The sequence below is a fragment of the Homo sapiens genome, chromosome 5 (genome assembly GCF_000001405.40).
Source record: "Homo sapiens chromosome 5, GRCh38.p14 Primary Assembly".
In the NCBI taxonomy this organism is placed as follows: domain Eukaryota; kingdom Metazoa; phylum Chordata; class Mammalia; order Primates; family Hominidae; genus Homo; species Homo sapiens.
The window spans coordinates 178,761,623-178,782,965 of NC_000005.10; the positions used below are offsets into that span (position 1 = coordinate 178,761,623).

General features: G+C 50.4%; 1 pseudogene across 2 annotated transcripts in view; it reads right to left on the reverse strand.

The window, feature by feature from the left end:
* Positions 1 to 3,238: 3,238 nt before the first annotated feature.
* Positions 3,239 to 21,343, reverse strand: part of AACSP1 (acetoacetyl-CoA synthetase pseudogene 1) — a 53,575-nt pseudogene continuing 35,470 nt past the window's right edge. The window contains exons 5-11 of one of the 2 annotated variants that reach the window (NR_024035.2): positions 14,520 to 14,654; positions 13,645 to 13,714; positions 12,876 to 12,926; positions 10,807 to 11,009; positions 6,848 to 7,042; positions 5,508 to 5,713; positions 3,239 to 4,553 (exon numbers count right to left, since the gene is read on the reverse strand). The product of NR_024035.2 is annotated as an acetoacetyl-CoA synthetase pseudogene 1, transcript variant 2 (transcript). Of the gene's footprint in view, positions 4,554 to 5,507; positions 5,714 to 6,847; positions 7,046 to 10,806; positions 11,010 to 12,875; positions 12,927 to 13,644; positions 13,715 to 14,519; positions 14,655 to 21,343 lie in introns of both variants that reach the window. The other variant, NR_135095.1, reaches the window with a different exon arrangement.

Genomic DNA, 21,343 nt, shown 5'->3' on the forward strand with positions numbered 1-21,343 from the left:
CCTCAGAGGCGGAGGTTGCAGTGAGACAAGATCGTACCACTGCCCTCCAACCTGGGCGACTCTGTCTCAAAAAAAAATAAAATAGATAAAATTGAAAAAGAGGATGCTGAAGCTTAGAATGGGGACATCTGGTGGGACTCAGATGAAACTGAGAATCTTGAATCCACAAGTCACTCTGAGCCTCTTTTGCCAAACGAAGGAGCTTGCTCTGTTGTGTCTAAGGAGACTAGCTGCCCTTTTCTTGAAAACTGTATGACAATCTCACATGAGGAGATGCCTATTCTCCTTCAGACCCACCACAACTACCACCAGTTGGCACCAGACTCACAACTAGGATCTTAGATTTTTAGTACCCACTATGGCCTAGAATGAGATTGCTTTTACACCAAGAGAACTGCAAGATGTTGCCAATCTATGTTGGCAGAAACCTAGGGAGTGTGTGAGCGTGTCAGACCAAGGCAGGCAGAAGAACATGACCTACAGTAGACTGAACTCCCTGACCTAGGTACACTAAGATTTTGGATATCACGTGTTAGTTTGCTTAACTGGAGGTGGCTCTCAAAGCTTATTTGGTTGGTGGCTGGAACTAGGACTCCATGGTGGCCTAAGATGAGTGGGCAGAGATGCCAGAGCTGCCCTGGCATGGTTGGAGGAGGGAATCTGAAGGCCTAGGGAGACGAAATGTTGAAAGGATTTTTACCACGGCAACCTGCACGCCTACCCACCAACTACATCCCCCAGGAGACCCCAGAAAATGCCTTCTTTACTAAGGTGTTGAGAAATACATTCATGGGGGGAACACCTGCATCCTTAGAAGGTCTGTGGCTTTCTCCTTTGTAGGCCAGGTATGATGGATCGGGGGTGTGGCCACCATTGATGTGAGCTCCCAACAGCAGAAGCCAAGAGGCAGTGCCCAACCTCCAGACGCAGTGCGAGCATGCCCGCCATCACGGACCGCAGCACGTGCCTGTGGTCAGCAAGCCCTGGCCTGTAGGAGGTTTGGCAGAGACTAACTGTCCCAAGGTCTCTGCGACTGAAACAGATGAGAAGCCTGCTAGAACACTGCCTGGGAACTCACCTCACAACAAAGGGAGTGGAGCACTGGGTTCAGGCCCATAGAATTCACTTCAAGGAGAAGGAAAAAAAGCAGAGACACAGACGGCAGCAAAGGCAAGAAACCAGCAGCCCCAGGGAAAGCAGCAAGGCCAGCTTTGTGCTCCATTTGGCAAATTGCTAAGGTAACTGAACAAAATATAACTAATGAACAATTACAGTGAAGTTCATAATTAGCTCCTTGAAACACCTGATAAAAAATATTTCAGATTCTTTTTTAAAACAACCATACTCAAGTGAGGTGAGGAGAGGCCGACCCAGGAATTGGAGAAAGCTATGAATGGTTCCTCTGGTTTGAAAGGAACAAAGCCCCCTAAATCATTATCCAGGTAACAGCACTGGCCTCCCAGAGCTGATATGCTAATTTGAAGGAGAGAGTGAATGTGAGTGGCTAACTCGAGGCTTGACATGTAGTACATGAACAAGAAATACTTGTTCCTTCCCTCCTGTTGGGCAAGAAGTTCACTGAGGGTAGACAATGCCATCCATTACTGTCTATATTCTGTGGGGTTCTCTGGGAGCCTGACACCAAGAGATTCTTAGAAAGTATAGCTAAAAAAGAATTTTTTTTTTTTTTTTGAGACGAAGTCTTGCTGCTCTGCCGCCCAGGCTGGAGTGCAGTGGCGCGATCTCAGCTAACTGCTACCTCTGCCTCCCGGGTTCAAGCAATTCTCCTGTCTCAGCCTCCTGAGAAGCTGGGATTACAGGCATGTGCCACCATGCCCGGCTAATTTTGTATTTTTAGTGGAGACGGGGCTTCACATGTTGGTCAAGCTGGTCTCGAACTCCTGACTTCATGATCTGCCTGCCTCAGTCTCCCAAAGTGCTGGGATTACAGGCATGAGGCACTGTGCCTGGTGAGAATATCCTTGTTTTCAGGAATTCACAATAGAGTATTTAGGGACAAAGGCACATTGTGTGTGCAGTTGACTCAAACCATTTAGAAAAAAAATACACATAAGTACGTGTGTATGTGTGTGTACGTAAGGAGAGAGAAAAGGATTAAGCAAATGTCACATAATGCCAACATTTGGGCAGTTTGAGTGAAGATTATCTAGAATTGTTAGTGCTATTTTTGAAACTTTAATTTGAAATTATATCAAAACACAGAAAGTAAAGGAAAGGAATACAGATACTTGCTTCCCAGTTTCCTCTAGAGCTAGCGGTGGCCATGAGATACAGTTCTTAGCCAATGAGTCGGAGGAGAAGGCTGCTGACAATCTTTCTGGGGAGAAACTTCCCCCTGGTCAAATAAGAACGGGCTTCAAAGAGACTTCTCACTGCACTGGCTGCCTCATTGCTTTAAGTATTTGAGGATGTGGTGCCGGAGCTGCAGCAGCCATCTTGTGACCATGAGGAAAAGCCCAAGAAACTCACAAAGCTTTCCCCATGTATGAGTTTCCGTGACACTGTTGCCCCACTTATGTTACATAGGATCATTCAATTCCTATACTCCTTCAATCCCACTCATCATTCCAGGCCCAGTGTCAGAACCTGTATCACTCAGGACCAGGGGGACAGAGCAGCCCCCATGTCAAACATGACCAAAGGGAAAAGAGAGCTTTGGAGACTCTTACATCAGCAATTAAGACCTGTGACGTAAAAATGATACGTCCCTTCCACTCACAACTCATTGGCCTTCATACAGCACATGGCCCAGCCTTGATTCCACAATTCTTATTCTTGAGGGGTTTTCATGCCTAAGTTTTGCCTCTTTTCCTCAACTATAAATTCCTCATGGTAAGTTTTTAAAGTTTTTAAAGATAATGATGCCCAGAGTTTTCTCCCAACTATTAAAATCATCACCTGAAGTCAGGAGTTCGAGACAAGCCTGGGCAACACGGTGAAACCCCATCTCTACTAAAAATACAAAAATTAGCTGGACAAGTGGTGCACACCTGCAATCCCAGCTACTCGGGAGGCTGAGGCACGAGAATCTCTTGAACCTGGGAGGCAGAGGTTGCAGTGAGCCGGTATTATGCCGCTGCACTCCAGCCTGAGTGACAGAGTCAGACTCTGTCTTAAAAAAAAAAAAAAAAAAAAAAATCAGAATCCTTAGGAGTAGGGCCTAGAAATCAGATTTTACAATTCAGGTAAAACATACATTTATAGTCCACAGCAAAAATTTTAACTGTACATCTCAAATATCTTTATTATGGTAAAATATACATAACGTAAAACTTGCCACTCCACCCATTTTTAAGTGTACAGTTCAGTGGCATTAAGTACATTCACAGTGTTATGCAAAAGTCACCACCATCCATTTCTAGAAACTTTTCATCATTCCAAACTAAAACTATGTACCCATTAAATATTCACTCCCCATTCCTTCTCTCTCCCCTTCCCTGAATAAGCTCTGGTCTACTTTCTGTCCCTGTGAATGTGACTATTCTGGGTATTTCATGTAAGTGGAATCATACAGTATTTGTCATTTTGTGACCAGTGTCTGTCACGATAATGGGTTCAAGGTTCATACACATTGCAGTGTGTGTCAGAACTTCATTCCTTTTCGTGGCTGAATAACATTCTATTGTAGGGACAGAACAGTAACCATTCATCAGCAAATGCTTGTGTTGTTTCCACCTTTTGGTGGTTGTGAATAACGCTGCTACAAACATTAGCTTACAAGCATCTGCTTCTGTCCTTGCTTTCAGTTCTTTTGGGTATATACCTAGGAGTGCAATTCCTGGCTCACAGGGTAATTACATGTTTAACTTTTTGAGGAGCCACCAGTGTGTTTCCACAGCAGCTGCCCCAATTTACATTCCCACCAGTAAGGCACCAGGGTTCAGTTTCTCCATATCCTCACCAAAGCCCAAGTTTTTGCTACACATATATGAACTCAAGTAACCACCACGTGGATAAAGACATCTAACATTTCCTGCATCCCAGAAGGTACCCTCATGGAAACCGGTATTGTTGCAAGCTCCCCAGCAGCCAGGGTCAAGAACCACGTCTTAAACTTTTAGGGGTTCTATCTCTGTCAAGGTTGGCTAACTCTCAACCTAAGAATAAGCCTCAAGTCTGAAGATGGAACATTAAAAATGACATTGTCACCTTGACAGAGTGGTTAATAACACCCCAGCGGGCCGGAGCCCATCAATCATGGGCTGCTGCCTTCTGTTTCGAGAGCTGAGGAAGACACCAAGATGGAAAGGAGGGAGGCAGCACAGGACAAGCTGGAGTGGCTGCCTAGGCACAGAAATCCCATACCACGCCTCCCCAGGCCTCTCCCCAGACTGGGAACAATAAATCTAGCAGCCAGATAGAAGCACTGCCCTCCCTGAATTCAATTTGCAAGGTCAACCAGGCCTAACAGAATTGTGACATCGGCGTCGCAGTCATTTACAACCCACTCTTGCCGTGTCTGAACATGAAAGCAATTATGTGATACATACTTTGGCAAGAACCTGAAGCTCCCATCAAGGGCGAGAGAAACACTGTCGAGTCAGGATATGTAAAGAAAGAACAAAGGAAAAGAAGGAAAGCCATAAAGACACATTCATAATGAAAATTTGAAAATTTCCACTTCCTTAGAAATCACATAAGAAGACTTAAGAGTCAGAAACCTTTTGAAAGCTCCATTGTCTTAAAAGTATAAATAGTATCTTTTTAGAAACCCACAATTTCAATCAAGCTGGAATAATGGGAAGTACCATTCATTGAACGTTGTCTTTTGAAATTTCATGACACATGAAATGATTCTCACTCAAAATCGAATTAGAGGCTCAAGCATGTGAGTTTGTGACAATGTCAAAGTGACTTGGAAAATGTACACGTAATTGATCTTCTTCACTGGGGTATGATTTTTTTGATCAATCTAGATATTCAGGAAGTACCCACGATATCAAAAGAGGGAGTCTCACTATCCTTCTTGGGAACTCTTTCCAAAAGGGCTGGCCCTAGCCCATGTGACCTTGGGCAAGCTCCCTGAACTTGGGCCTTATTCCCCATCTTCCAAATAGGGATAATGATGACACCTACCTTCTAGGGTTATACTCAGGATCGTGGCCCTGGAACAGCACCCAGCATATGGTATGTACTACAGCAGTGTTAGCTATTATTGGCAGGAAATGGCTAGGCCCCAAGGGCTCAGCAGAACCCAGCCCAAAGCCCACACAACTGTGACTCCAGCCCCTGAAGTCAGTGGTCTCAGGCCCTGTTGCAAAAGGACAGCTCGGCAGACCACACAGTAGAAGCCATATCCTTTAGCCACCAGACAGCCCAGCGGACAAAAGCCTTAGCAACAGGCACAGAGAGGACCCAGGAGTCGTTACCAAAACTGCAGTTCCCTCCACCCCAGCCTGGGTGAGGCAGGAGCACCCACCACCTCCCTCTTCAAATGCCTTCTTTCAGGTGCCAGTTCCCACCGGCAGCCCTTAAGCACAGCTTGCCTGCAAGCCAGGGACTCCTGCGCCAGGCCATTCAAGGTTTCCATCCTCCCTGTGCCAGCCAGTCCGACTCAGAAGCCATTCAGCTCAGGGATGTCCCAGTACAGATGCAGGGCCTCGGGGTTCGAGAAAGCACCTCGTTGCTCCATGGCTTTTCGAGCGATGATCTGTTTGACGGCAACTTCCACTTTATTGCCACTGAGCGTGTACTGCGAGGGAAGGGTAGAAAAAAACAAGAAACTGCACTTAAACCTGAAGCGGGGAAAACGCACGGCCCTGGGTATATCCAGGCCCAAAAGGCCCAGCCTCCACCCGGAGAGCCAAGAGTGAATGAGTCTCAGCTCCAAGACGCCCCTCTCCCTGCTAGGTCTGCAAAACCTATTTCTGAAAGGCAATTTCAAGACCTGGTGCTGAAACCCAAGTCTAACACTCCCTGAAACCCTCCCACACTGCCCCTGGCACAGTTATTGAGAAAGTGAGGCTATTTCAGAGATGCCCAGAGGTCACCATGAGCACCTTCATTTTTCTAACGCTGCACACCTCAATGGGCCCCACTGGGACCCGCTGCATGTGTCACATCCAAGCTGACCTCCAGAGGGCCCTCAAGACACCCCACTGACCCCGGCAGTGCATATTCCAGATGGGAACATAAAAAAAGTGTCTCTCAGGGTCCAGGCTCTGCCTGACCAGGATGAAAATGCAGACATAAGATCATTCCTAAATCTGAGCAGGCACCCTGAGCAAGAAAGTTTTCAGGGAAGATGTGGCTTCTGCCACCACCACATCTGGGGGATGCTGGGTGAATTCCTGAACCTGGTTCATTTCCTTGAATGAAAGTGGGGGTGCCAGCACCTAGGCTGTAGGGCTGTGAGTCAGGGGGTAAACAGGTCAGTGCACGCACAGCTTCAGAAGCGCCTAGCTACTATGTTTTATGATGATTTTACTTTTATTTATACTTTTACTTCTCTATACATTTTATTACATTATTCTATGATAAAGACTAGCTGCTGCCATTACTTCAGAAGTGGCCCAGCTTCCTAGAGCTACGGGCAAGAGCATCCCCAAGTTCCCATGAACTCCTCCTCGGAGCCAGCCATCTGCAGCAGACGGTGCGTTACTTTTTCTCGTAGTTGCACCCTTTCCAAACATTCAGAGCTCCTCTAAGATTCGTGGCACATGTGTTTCACCTTGAATCCAAACGAGCCTTTGGTGGCGTGGGTGTGTTGTGGGCTAGAAAACCTCAAGAGCAAGAGAGCCCAGTAGGGCTCCTCTGCCTGAGCTCTGGATCACTGGTGCCTTTTTTTTTTTTTTTTTAACCTGAGCTGTAATTAAAATTCATTCACCTGAAAAATTCAGTCGACGTGTGAACTAATTAGGGATCTAAGCGCCGGCTTCCGAGGAGGGCCTGCATGTCACTTCGTGTGGTGTCGCCGGCCCTCCCGCTGTGAGATGGAAATGGCTCGCCTGCTCTGTGCCCCACTACGCTTCATGCAGGGGTCCATGTGCAGCTCGTGGGCACGAATAACGCCACCTTCCACCTGCTGGTAAAATATAGCGGCCTCCCCTTAAAAGAAATCCTGCTACCGTTTCCTCCAGGGAGAGGGGAAAGGCAGAGGAAAGGGAAAGAGAAAAGAAGCCTCCACCCCCTACCCCTGCACGGGGCCTCCCCAGATAGACAGGAGCCCAGCAGCCTCCTGGCAGGAAGGGCCAGATATCCCAGCCACGTCCTGAGCAAAGGCCCGCTGGACTTGGACAGCCATGGCTGCCTGGGGGCTGCAGGCAGGAAGCCCTCAAATGTCAGGAGTCCATTCCACTTGGCCATGACCCGCCCGGGGTCCCCAGGTCTTTATTCCAGGTGAGCAGAAGGTGGGGCTGGCTACGGACACCACTTCCTTCAGCAGGACCCCTCATCTCTCTGTGTTTCCTCATCTGTAAGATGGGCTTGAGGAACACAAGCTTGTCCCACCTCATAAGGGTCAGAGGACCAGCTCCCGACCCACCACTCACTCACCAGACACCACAAGCACCTGCTGTTTTCCAAGCAGTCAGCTGAGCTCTGAGGAGGTGGTGAACCCACGAGGTTCCTGTCCTCAAGGAGCCCCCACTCCAGATAGAAAGACATGAACATACACAAGAGCTCACCCTCAGTCCATGGCAAACACTGTCAAAGCTAAAGATGGAGGCCAGGACACTGTTCAAACAGGAAATGCAGGGAAAGCCTCTCTGACATTTGAGCAGAGAGCAACTGAGATCAGGTGTGTGGAAGGGCACTGCACGGCGTGCACACCTACTCTGAATGAAGGTGATGGTGAGCGGAGGCAGCACAGAAACAGAGGCAGGAGGGCTGCGTTCGGGCACCCCGTGGCCCACGGCACCACCAGAGAGTCTCTGTTGTCAACCCATCTTAGAGATGAGGAAACTGAGGCTTGAACGCTAAGTGAGTTGCCCAAAGTCATGCCTCGGGGACAGAGTGGGAGCCAGGGCTGTGACAGAGCCCCTGTGCACGAAGACCCTCAGAGGAGCCGCTGTGAAGGCTGGCGGCAACGACCACGCCGGCAAGAGCCTCCCTAGTCCCCGCCACATCATCATCATCAGGGTGCCGCATCATCACCCTGAGCTGTGGCGGGCGGGTGAGGGGCTCCTCTCCTCAAGTCACAGGCCAGAGATGGATCAGTATTACTCAACACGAGGAGTGGGGCTGGCTCTGGGCCCAAATATCTCCTGAGCACTCGCCAAGGCCTCCCACAAATACTGAAAATGGTGCTGGCTTCCCAGGGAACAGAAGTGGCAGTGTCTCTCCACGCAGAGACAGAGACAGGCCACCTCCCATTCCCACCGCTGGGAAGGCCCTGGTCTCAGGCTATTCTTGGGGTGGTGGGAGGAGGGTAGCCCACTCTCCGCAAGCACCATGTGAAAGGTCAGACCTGCAACAAGCTCTCCTGCCTCAGCAAGGCCCCAAGACTTTGCAGATGGGACCTCAATTGTCCTCTTCTGACCCTGAAGTGGGTCCAGTTCCCGAATGGGCAGGCTGGGGCCATGCCGTGTCACCTCCCTGTGGAGGCTGGGCCCCTCCTTAGCTCAGCAACGAAAGAGGTAAATTCTCTCCTAAGCCTGCCACGAGGGTCCGAAAATCCAAGGGCATTCAAAAACCTGGAGAAACCCTCCCAATGACTTCCCGAATGGACCCAGGAGAAGACCCTACCTGGGGAGAAAAAGAGCCCAGAGCCCAGAGCCCAGCTGGGTACCCTGGCAGCAAGCCTATGAAAGCCAGAATAACCATGGAAAGAAACGTGCTTAGTTTTCTCCCTTCCTAATAAATTGCTCCACTACTCTTGTGATCAGATACGGTTTGGTAATAACCATTTCGGAAGCAAAAGACCCAAGTTCTTTTTCAATAAAATAAAGCCAAGGGGACAAATTCAAATTCCAGTTCCCTAAAATGTTCCAGATGAGACAGCACTTATTCACCCAAGAAAAACAGACCCTCATCAGGAAAAGACAAAAAGCATCACTGATTAAAGAAGTACCTTCTTGGAGAGCACCAATGTCCCTGCAGAGAGCCGCCAAGAGTCACCAAGCAAAAAAAAGAGAGAGATGGATGGAAAGCTCCCAAGCTGCAGGGCTCTTCCCACGCAGAACCAGAACGCAAAGGAAATGTGTGGACGCCACAGAAAAGGAACCAACACCGCAGATGTGGACAGGGGCCGGGAGGAGGAGGAACAAGGGTTCCGAGCGGGAATCGGTCCTCCAGGGATGGTCGGGGATCGCACGCAGTGGCCATGCTGCGAGTGCTCTCCCCAGCCCCCACCACTGGACAGACTGTTTTCAAGATGTTGAAAGAACTTTTTTTAAGACAAAGAGAATGATCTGCAGGTTTCAAAGTCAATGGCATCACATATTTCAACATCGTCCAGAAAACAGCCTCTCCTGGTAAATCCTGTCTCTGGTTATTCCTCACAGACTCAGCCCAGCTCCTGGGCAACGTCAAAGTCAGCTTCTCCTGGGAACCCAGTGAGTGTCTGCTCCCATCTTCTCCTTAATGAACAGCCAGTCTGTAGGCTTTAAATACAGCCTCCCACTGTCTGTTTAAATTGTTGTGTGTGTACATTCACATACACACGTGCACACATACAACAGCTTCTGTCAGCTTGCGGGGACATCCATTTTGTAAGCAATGCAAATTAAAGCTGTGATCCAATCTGGGTGAACCTCCTCCTCCCCAACTTAGACTCGAAGCAGAGTGTACTGGGGCGGGGAGCTGGGGGACGACGACGCAACCTTTGAAGACCTGCCTCTAAAAAGAGTCAAGTCTCGTCTGTGTCAGCAGAACTTAAAATTAAAAGGCAAGAGCAACAGCTCCCAGCAGCTCTTTAAAAGGTTAAAATTGGCTGGGTGCAGTGGCTCACGCCTGTAATCAGCACTTTGGGAGGTCGAGGCGGGTGGATCACAAGGTCAGGAGTTCGAGACCAGCCTGGCTAAGATGGTGAAACCCTGTCTCTACTAAAAATACAAAAATTTAGCTGGGCACAGTGGGAGGTACCTATAATCCCAGCTACTTAGGAAGCTGTGGCAGGAGAATCGCTTGAACCTGGGAAGCGGAGGTTGCAGTGAGCCGAGATCACGCCACTCTACTCCAGCCTGGGTGACAAAGCAAGACCCCATCCCAAAAAAAAAAAAAAAAAATTGGCTGGGTGCAGTGGCTTATGCCTGTAATCCCAGCACTTTGGGAGGCCAAGGTGGGCGGATCACTTGAGGTCAGGAGTTTGAAACCAACCTGGCCAACATGGCAAAACCCCGTCTCTACTAAGAATGCAAAAATTAGCCGAGCATGGTGGCGTGTGCCTGTGGTCCCAGCTACTCAGGAGGCTGAGTCAGGAGAATTGCTTAAACCTGGGAGGCGGAGGTTGCAGTGAGCTGAGATTGAGCCATTGCACTCCAGCCTGGGTGACAGACCAAGATTCAGTCTCAAAAAAATAAATAAAATAAAAAATACAATGTTAAAATTAATGTTCTCATTAACAATTTTGAGAACACACTAAAACCAGGGGTTAGCAGGGATAAGCCAGTCGGACCTGCAGGGCTGGGCTCGCTAACCCTCTGAACGTGGGTATTTAGCAGAAATTGCTTTAAATGCAGTCTTAGAAAGAGTAGGAAAAAAGATGGCAGAGAGGATGGCATTGCTAGGCAACGTGGACAAACGATATGTAAAGCACCAGCAAACTACTCAGATGTGAGCGCCCCTCGACGTGTGGGCTCATGGGGTGATGGCACTGGTCTCGTCGCTGGCAGAAGACGGTCATACCGCGATGCCCTTGGTTTCCAGGATGAGGCTGGGCACATGCCGCACAGACAAGCCCACGCGGATGGCGTCACAGATCCTCTTCACCAAGTCAGGCTGGAAGGCGTGCCCAGAGGCTGTCTTCAGGAAGACGATCACCCTCTCTTCCCCGTACTTGTTATACTGGGGGACATACAGGCTGTCCTCCACCTCCTCAAAGGAGTCCACTGTGGAGACAGGAGAGGGCACACATTCACACAGGGGGCCCCTCAGTGCAGGATCGGGCCTGACAGCAACCTGGCAGAGCAGGAGGGGCAGGCTGCGTCCCCCAGGCCTACCTGGGGTGCCTGTGTTCTCCCAGCCCACCCAGGAGGAGGGTCTTGGAGGGACATTTGCCGAGGGAGCTGTTTCACAAGTGGAAGAAAGCCCATTACTGGGGAGGTAGAGAGAGTTTCAGCTTTGGCAGGACAGGTGATGTTGTACCAGGGGGCCAGGTGTGGGCCTTACTCACTTAATAAGAGATTAATTCAAGATAAAAAAGAGCCAGGCAGGGTGGCTCACGCCTGTAATCCCAGCACTCTAAGAGGCTGAGGTGGGAGGATCGCTTAAGTCCAGGAGATTGAGACCAGCCTGAACAACATAAGGAGACTTTGTCTCTACAAAAAAGTAAAAACTAAGCCAGGTATGTTGGCACATGCCTGTAGACACAGCTACTCAGGAAGCTGATGCAGGAGGATGGCTTGAGCAGAGGAGGTCGAGGCTGCAGTGACCTAATTGTGCCACTGCCCCCCAGCCTGGTCAACAGGGTGAGACCCTGTCTCAAAAAAAAAAAAAAAAAAAAAAAAAAAAAAAGGAAGCAGGTGGCTGGGCACAGTGGCTCACACCTATAATCCCAGCACTTTAAGAGGCCAAAGTGGGTTGATTATTTGAGCTCAGGAGTTCCAGACCAGCCTGGTCAACCTGGCAAAACCTCATCTCCGAAAACAAAAATTAGCTGGGCATAGTGATGCACACCTGTAGACCCAGCTACTCAGGAGGCTGAGGTGAGAGGATCACTTAAGCCCAGGAGGTGGAGGTTGCAGTGAGCTGAGATCGCACCACTGCACTCCAGCCTGGGTAAGAGAGTAAGACCCTGTCTCAAAAAACAAAAGTAAAAATTAAAAAAAAAGCAGGTGCCTGTGGTGGGTACTCCACTGGAGGGAGGAACAAAGGCTGGAATCAGACCATCAGGATTTCTCCACCCTGGCTACACAAATAACCTTGACATAAGTTTAGGACTCTGACCTAAGCACTAGCATGTGAGGCCATCTGACCGACTTTGTGGCCTGGGCTGGGCCTGGGTCCCTGGGCCGCGCAGTCTGAAGGCCCACAGGGGACTCCACCGTGCAGCTGTGAGACCCACAGGCCTACACTGTCTGTGCTTGGTGTCCTGCATAGCACTGTGTGACCTTCAGCAATCCTGCACCCTCTCTGTGCTTCTGGTTTCTTAACCCATAAGAGCAGAAACAAGTTGGCACAGTGGCTCATGCCTATAATCCCAGCACTTTGGGAGGCCGAGGCAGGTGGATCACTTGAGGTGAGGAGTTCAAGACCAGCCTGGTCAACATGGTGAAACCCTGTCTGTACTAAAAATACAAAAATTAGCTGGGCATGGTGGTGCATGTCTCTAATTCCAGCTACTGAAGAGGCTGAGGCATGAGAATTGCTTGAACCTGGGAGGCAGAGGTTGCAGTGAGCCAAGATTACACCACTGCAGTCTAGCCTGGGTGACAGAGAGAGACTGTGTCAAAAAAACAAAACAAAAAAAAGAGTAGAAGCTAGTAACCAACCCAACAGAGCTCACCAGGGGGATGAAATATAATGGGGATGGGCCAAGGGACCTTAAAGACCCCATGTGAGGTTTTATGAGGACGGCAGTGTGGGCCAGGTATCATCTGAAAAGGAGGTCAGGCTCTCAAACGTCCACTGTCACACAAGAGACCAAGGGGCCAGAGTCGTGCCAAAGGTAGGGCCTGTGGAAATTCGCCCTGGGGCTCCCACCAGGACCCTCCTCCTTCCTGGATACTCAAGAACGCTCAGGGAGAAGAACATACCTATGTTACAGGTTTCCAGGCTGCCGAACCGCGGGGTTGAGCGTGCCGTCACTGGAAAGCGAGAAAAAGTCAGGGCTACACCGCAGCTCTGAAGTGAGGCAACTCCCAGGGGTCCCAGGGGAGGTCACCCCCCTTCCACATGGCCTCCCCCAGGACCAGTCACGGATGCTCCCCTCCCCAGCTCCTTGCCCCGCCACATGGCTCTTTCTCCCTCTCAGGTTAAAGCGCGACATCCAGGGAGGCCCCTCTGTGCAGGAACATCTGTCACCTCACTCCCTTCCCACCTGCACACGCGTCCCCTGTCTTGGGTGTGGACACTGCTGTGTCTTTGCTGTGGGACCCCTGCCCTGACACCCCCTACCCGAGAACCCCATCACAGGGCAGGGAAACTTGGATCACGCCCAGACCCAGCCCTCGGGAAGGAAGCTGGCACAAGGATGCCCCACCCCAGAAACGACACAGAAAGGGTCCAAGATGGGGGACAGTTAGCCATGTCGCAGACTGAGCAGACAATGCTTTCTCAAAGGGGATCTTCAGGCTCGGGGCAGCATGTGCACAGGCACAGGGACGCATGGCACACCAGCCGGGGGGCGGTGGGGGGTCCCAGACATCAGCAGAGGCGTGGGTGGTGTGGACACCCTGGTGCTGGAGTGGAGTGGGGTGCCCAGGAAGGGGATCACTGACTCTCACAGAAAGTGCCTCCTCCCCCACCCCCAGGCCTCCGGAAGGTGGGGCTCCAGGGAAGAGAAGCCGACTCTGCAGCCCTTACCTCCAGCCGAGCATGATGACGCCCCCGGTCTTCGGGTTGATGCTGCAGCAGTCGCCATGAGCCCTGATACCTGCAAGGGCGGCAGAGGTGCCCGGTCACCCCGAGGAGAAGGGGCCGTGATGGGCTGCCTGGACAGACACTAGGTGCGGATCCGCAGACATCATTGGGGCCCAGAGGCAGGCCTGGCATGGGGCTGGGGCAGGAGGGAGCTAGACTGTTCCTGCCCCAAGGAACATGCCCTCTAGTGAGGGCTGCTGCCAGGGCAGCTCTGACACAGCCGGCGAGGAGACACAGCTCCTGAGGCACCAGCAAGGACCCAGGAATTCACAGAGGGCGGGACCAAGTGCGGCCAGGGCACTGGGGGTCAACAGGAGCATCTGGAGACACCTCTGAGTGGAGCGCAGGAAAGAACGAGCCACGTCTTGGGAAGCAAGAGTGGCCAGGGGCAGCTGAGGGCACAAGGTGTGCAGAGGTTGGGGTCAGATATTAGAATGGAATACACAAGCTCATGGCCAGGAAGGAGGCTACTGCACCAGTCCCAGCCATGCAGGCTTGAACCAAAGCATTAGCCACATGGACAGAGAACCGATTAGCAGGTAAAACCCAGGAAACGAGGTGGGTGGGGGAAGAGGAAAGAGCCAGAGGTGACGGCAACACGGTATCAGCAGGCTACATGAGTGGCCACGTGTGCAGCTGTTCAGAGAAAGCCTGTGCGCTGGGGTGGTGCTGTGAAGCTGATCGACCAAAGGGATCAAAACCCAGCGTTGGACGCAGCATCTAAGGAGAGAGGTTCCTTGGCCACATCCTCCACCCAGGCGCCAAACAGTGAAGAGAAGCCACGCATCTGAGAGTCACCAAAGGAGCAGTTAACTCACGCTCAGCCCTTGATCATCCACACTGAGGGGAACTGGCTGGCCATCATCAAAAGCGCATCTCTGCCGCTTTGCAACACGAGAAGTCATCTGCCTTAGCAGCAGGCTCTCCTCCTGAAGTAAGGCCCCAAAGATTTCCTGTGATCCAGGAAAGGAAAACAGTAAATAAGCCAGCTTCCGTGTCCTCACTGACGGGGGGCAGCCTCAGAAAGCATCTCTTTTCTCCAAATCTCCAGACACTTCTCCACTCTGAGCCAAGTGCTAACCCAAACAGTTCATGACTCAACAGCTACGTAGTCTATCCACCCATTCATGTGACATTGTGAAGGCGACACTGCCACAAGCCACAACCAAGCCTTCTACAGGGATGAAGGCCAAGGGGACTCTATGCAGGGAGCGCATGGTCCCTGGGAGGCAGCTGAAGAGAATGAAATGAGCCCTAAGCGACTTAATCTGATGCGAAAAAGAGAATTGCAGGCCTTCAGGTCTTCCTCCCGCCTCCCCAGGCTGGAGAGTGAAACCAATTCTTTTGTCATTGGACCTTTTTTTTTTTTTTCAAATGGAGTTTTGCTCTTGTTGTCCAGGCTGGAGTGCAATGGCGCGATCTCGGCTCACTGCAATCTCCACCTCCAGGGTTCAAGCGATTCTCCTGCCTCAGCCTCCCAAATATCTGGAATTACAGGCACGTGCCACCACATCCAGCTTATTTTTATATTTTCAGTAGAGATGGGGTTTCACCATGTTGGTCAGGCTGGTTTCGAACTCCTGACCTCAGGTGATCCACCTGCCTCGGCCTCCCAAAGTGCTGGGATTACAGGCCTGAGTGACCATGCCTGGCGTCTCATTGGACATTTTTTTTTTTTTTTGAGACGGAGTCTTGCTCTGTTGCCCAGGCTGGAGTGCAGTGGCACGATCTCGGCTCACTGCTGCAAGCTCCGCCTCCCGGGTTCACGCCATTCTCCTGCCTCAGCCTCCCGAGTAGCTGGGACTACAGGTGCCCACCACCACGCCCGGCTAATTTTTTGTATTTTTTAGTAGAGATGGGGTTTCACCGTGTTAGCCAGGATGGTCTCGATCGCCTGACCTCGTGATCCACCCGTCTCGGCCTCCCAAAGTGCTGGGATTACAGGCGTGAGCCACGGCGCCCAACCTCTCATTGGACTTTTAAAGATTCACACACAAAAATAAGGAAAAAAAAAATTCACTCCTAGGCTTGCGATTGATGTGTCCGGTTTCTGCAGGAGCACATGTGTATGTCTACTCAACAAACTGAGTTTATGAATGGCAGCCCCAGGAGATCAGAGCTGCAAGCCTATGCCGCTCTCCTGGGAATCCTGCCTCATTCTGGAACTTTCGTGCCAGCAACAACATACAGTCTCGTTTGCCTGGGTCAGATCTCCCTTGAATTGGATGGGAAATTTCTGGGTTTTCTGGGCCATTTGTAGTACTGTGCCCTAATTAACTGAGAGCCCGGAAATGCAGAGAAAAAGGAAGACGTAAATCCACTCTGAAGAAATTTTCTTTTGTGGAAACTTCCCCCTGACACACTTTGATCCTTTGCAAAGCCAAGCTGAGAGGAGGAATCCACAAGTAGCAGCTGGCTGCAGGGTACCACAGAGGAAGCGGCGTGATGGCGAAACAAAGCCACAGAAGCAGCGTCTTCCTTTCTAGAGCAGACTGAACAGAGTCAGATCATTCTCCTTCTTCCAGGCACTGACTTCAGCCCTGAGTCTCCTGAGAGCTGAGGCCAAAGTGGAGCCACGGTGGGAACAGGGGGAACAGGTGACTGCCGGTAACAGACCAGGCCTGTTTGGAATGTGTCATCTACACTGACTTAAATCTTAAGCTTGCTTTACTTTCTTTTAAAATATTAGGTTTTTAAAAATAATAAAAAGCGGCCGGGCGCGGTGGCTCATGCCTGTAATCCCAGCACTTTGGGAGGCCGAGGTAGGCGGATCACGAGGTCAGGAGTTCAAGACCAGCCTCGCGAACACAGTGAAACCCCGTCTCTACTAAAAATACAAAAACTAGACTGGTGTGGTGGCGCGTGCCTGTAATCCCAGCTACTCATGAGGCTGAGGCACGAGAAGCCGAGATGGTGCCAGTGCACCCCAGCCTGGGCGACAGAGCGAGACTCCGCCTCAAAAAATAAAAATAAAAAGCCATAAGGAAAACCAAAATGGGCTCATCATCTCACCACTCATTTAAGCCCTTATTCACACTCGTTATTCATTTATTCACACAATCACACATATGTACTTCCTTTTTAAAATGTACAGAAGGCCCAGTGCGGTGGCTCACACTAGTAATCCCAGGATTTGAGGAGGCTGAGGCAGGAGGACTGCTGGAGCTCGAGTTTGAGACCAGCCTGGGCAACACAGAGACCTCATCTCTACAAAAAATATGAAAATTAACCAGGCATGGTAGCACACACTTGTAGTCCCAGCTACTTGGGAGGCTGAGGCGGGAGGATCCTTTGAGCCCTGGAGATCAAGGCTGCAGTGAGCTGAGATCACATCACTGCACTCCAGCCTGGGGGACAGATGGAGACCCTCTAAAAAAAGATTAATTAAAAAATAAAATTTACACAAAAGCAATGCTAGGTCCTCTGTTCTTGAATTCTCATTTTCACTTACTAACTTCCTGAATCTTTCCATACCAGCATGTTGGGATTCGATCAGGCTGGTGGGAAAAATATTAGTTACAACAGGCACAAAACCCTTCTGGAAGGCCTGAGGGTTTTCACATGACTTCAGTAATAGACGGGGCTAAAGGCGGCCTGGTCCCATTACCTATTAGTTAAATAGATTAGACTAGTAAACAATGGGATGTGGGGAAGTTATCTAGTTAGCTTGTTTACTCACGTGGTCTTAAGACTGACCTTCAGACATCTGAGGGCAGGATGGCTCTCTCTGGGGGAGGTCAACCAGGGATATTACCCACTAATGGTGTTTGCTTGGAGCCTTGGAACCTCGCTTTTAATCATTATCTACAAGTGTGTTGACTCAGAACTTCTGTTGTTAATTATATACTAAGTAAATGCCTGGAGCGCGAGCTGCTCAGGGCCGTGGTCGCCATTCTTTACAGGACCCTCCTTGCAGTCTGTGAGTGGCCTCAGACCCTCCGCTGGACGGGCAAAGCAGAATATCTGTGTGTCAGTGTATGTTTATTCATCCGTCGTTTGGGTCAGGGTCTGCGGGCAGACCCCCGCAGCTAATGCCCTCTTGGGAGGGGCAATACCTCATCAGCATACGGCCTGTTCACACTTTCACCTGGCATCATTTTTTAAGGTAATGATGTCCGTAAACCCACTCCCAGTTGTGGAAAGGAAGACTCGCTCTTGTAGCTTGGTTTTGCCATCATGCCATTTCCTACACAGCCCAAGAATCTCTCAGCGCTGGTGCTTGAGAAATGGTCTAAGTGCAGGCTGTGTTCACCCTGTCCATGATAAACAGCTTCAAATCTCATTTCTGATCTGCCTTTGTCTTTCCATATTTATTCATGTCTCTCATCTACACCCAGGAAGTATCGAAGGAAGCTGCCTTTAAAACTGACTTCAAGATAGGATTACTCAAAGAGAAGCAAAACCCTACCCTAAAGGTAAGAGGACTACAAAAACAAAGCAATGATTTCAGCTCTGAGTTTCCTGACAGCCAAGGCAAAAATGGAAATATATCATGTCACAAAGTATTTGTTTTCTCCAAGAAGGAATATCAGTTTCAAAAAGAGGTTATTCTGAAATTAATCCTGAGACACATCACATGAACCCTTGCACATGTGACAAAAAAAGTGACAGAGTTTTCAAAGAGCAATGTTACAGAAGATGAAGGGCTGTCATTTCTTGGATGGATCCTCAAGCTGAGACTCTAATCCTTTTGGCCTCTCCTCCCAAGGCAGTAGCCCCTGCCCTCCTCCTCAGGGTCATCTGAAGAGTGTTTCTCCACATCCACTCTTGCTTTTCTGCATTCGTCTGTCTGCACAGCTGCTCACAGCAGGAGCCGAGGTGGGGCTTAGGTGCAGCAGGGATGCAGTGGAGGCTGAGCCACCCCTGGGGGGATGCCCCACGCTGCTGCAGGAAGGCGCTATTTCAAGCATGATGGCTTTTACGGTGACATGCAAATATGCAGGGCAGGAAAGATCCCTGGCAAATCCTACCACTTGCTGCTTTCTGATTCTCCATACGTCTATGCTATGTGCCCCGCGTCCTTCTTTGCTCACTCACATTACCTTTTGAGAGACTGCAGCAAGCAAGTACTTAGTATAAATAACTCTGAAACAGAAGGTTTGCTAAACGATGAATTATATGGCAGCAATAACTTGAGACTGCTTATGAAATAAGATTAGAGGGAGGCAGGAATCAGAGCTTTAAATAAAAGACTTTCCTGCTTTGGGGCAAGGCACCACTCAAACCACACTCAGGGGTGTCAGTCTATGTGAGAGGGATGTGTCGGGTTGTAAATCCTTCCACCGCAAAAGCACTCTTCCTTAGCATCTCCACGAGGACTGGATGATGGTGAGACACACAGAGGAAGAGACCCGAGCCAGACACCACTTCCACATGCCGCTCCTCGTGAACAGGCAGGCATCACCCTGGCATCACCCTGTTTCAGCGAGTGGGCCCTGCACCCTCCACCTCCCACGTGCAAACCAGAGGCACATGCCAGCGCCCAGCAGCAGGGGCCGGGGCCCTGGGCAGAGGTGGCTGAGATTCAGCTAAACCCAGATTATAGTTACACATGATAGCTTCAAGCTGAAGACAAGATATTCATCAAAAATTGATTATCGCCCCACTGGAGGAATGAGCTATATGCAGCTTCTCCAAGCCCTGGTGGGGGAAGGAAGAGGGGAGGGGCAGGATGGGAGGGGAAGGACGAGGACACACGACTAGGCACGGAAGGCCCAGACAACGCAGAGGCTCGGCAGCTCTGTCTGCATCTCTCCAGCCGACCTGGGAATTTGGAGAAATACGCCTTCCTGTACTTGTTGCCGTTCTCATTGTTCCAGAAGTGTGTGGGCTGGCAAGGGATCGGCTTAGTACACACCAGCTTGCTGCTGTCTCCCCCAGACCGCCTTTCCTGGTATGGGAGAATTAAAAATAAGCCCAACACACACCACAGCCACACACTGGCTCTCTCTTCTCTCTTAAGCTATTACTTATTACGCAATATTCCAGACATACACAAAGGTACAGAGATGGTCCACGCCCACACACCTCTCACGGGAGCCTAATAATGTGTTCCTCCCATGAAGTCCCCTCCCTGTGTGCTCCCCAAAATCGCTGTCTCGGACATAGTGATTTGTTATTCCCATGTGTGTTAACATTTTTGCTCCATCCATACGCATCCCTGAATACTATGTGTCATCACTTTGCATACCTTTGAACACACACACGCTGTCCTTCTATGTGTCCCGCGTCTTCCTGTGCTCACTCAACATGACATCTGGGTGGCTCGTTCGGGCTACTACCTGTCGCTCTGGTTCATTCCTATTTACCGCTTGGTCATTTGCCATGTGTGATCACAGAACTTCTGCCCAAGGATGGACATTTCTATTGTTCCCAATTTTGTTTTCATTACAAATCATGGGGCTACAAACATTCTTGCATGGATCACAAGTCTGTCTTCCGTAAGCGGAATTCCTAGATCACAGGGCACATATGCATCTTCAGCTTCACTGACTGCTCCCGCATTGCTCTGCAGAACAGGTGCACTGAGCCCTGCTCACCCTTCCTAGCACAGCTGGGTTTCTAGCTGCCAGGCACAGCACAGCAGGAGACTATCCCTTCCATGACCGGGCTCTCAGATGCTCAGAGCCGGCCGCTGCCTGTGTATCCAGCACCAGGGTTCAGATTCAGGGCAACGATCACCCACTTGCCCGACGTTCCTGAGCACACAGCTCTCTGTCCTCCAGCTCGACCCTGACCTCTCAGGAGCTGGGGACCAGGAGCCGGTGGGTGTTAAACCAAGCTGGGGGGGAAGGACATCACGCTGCAAGTGACAGGGGCCTCCCTCCAAGGGCTGTTTTGGAGAACTATCACCAAGCAAAGTTACACATCCGAGCGCTCCCAAGCTCCCAACTCACGCCTAATCACAGGAAGAAACAGTTGGCGGAGCCATCACCTTCCTCATTCCACGCATCCACGGCCATGCCCAGGTTCCAGGCCTGAATCTCCCCTTTATACACAGGAAGAGAAATATTCTGGCCCATGAAGCAGGAGGTGATGTCGGTGCCTCCCGCAAGCAATGACAAAAGGAGAGTCGAAATTCAGAAGCCCAAGACAAATTGCTTTTAAGTCAGTAAGCAACAAAAGAGAAAGTGCAAAGACGACAAACATCTACTCTCCCAGACAAACACTGCAACATCCCAGACAGGTGGGGCTTCTTTTCAGGCAGCAGTGGGAGAGGTGATATGGAAATTAGAATGAACCCCCCTCATCTGGTGATTGACGTTTTGGCCGAGCCTTGCTGTTGGAGGATGCACTAAGTAAATGACTTCTTGTGGTCACACTGAAATTCAAGATTCAGGATCGCAGAAAATGGAAGCTTTGCCTGTGGTAACCACCCAGCAGACGCTGCCTATGCGGACTCATCACGTGGGAAGGCTTGCACGCCATGGTTTACGTGGACTTAACGGTTGGAAAAACAGAAACGTGGCCGGGCACGGTTGCTCATGCCTGTAATCCTAGCACTTTGGGAGGCCGAGATGGGTGGATTACCTGACCTCAGGAGTTCAAGACCAGCTTGGGCAACATGGTGAAACCCCATCTCTAGTAAAAATACAAAAAATTAGCCAGGCATGGTGGTGTGTGCCTGTAATCCCAGCTACGC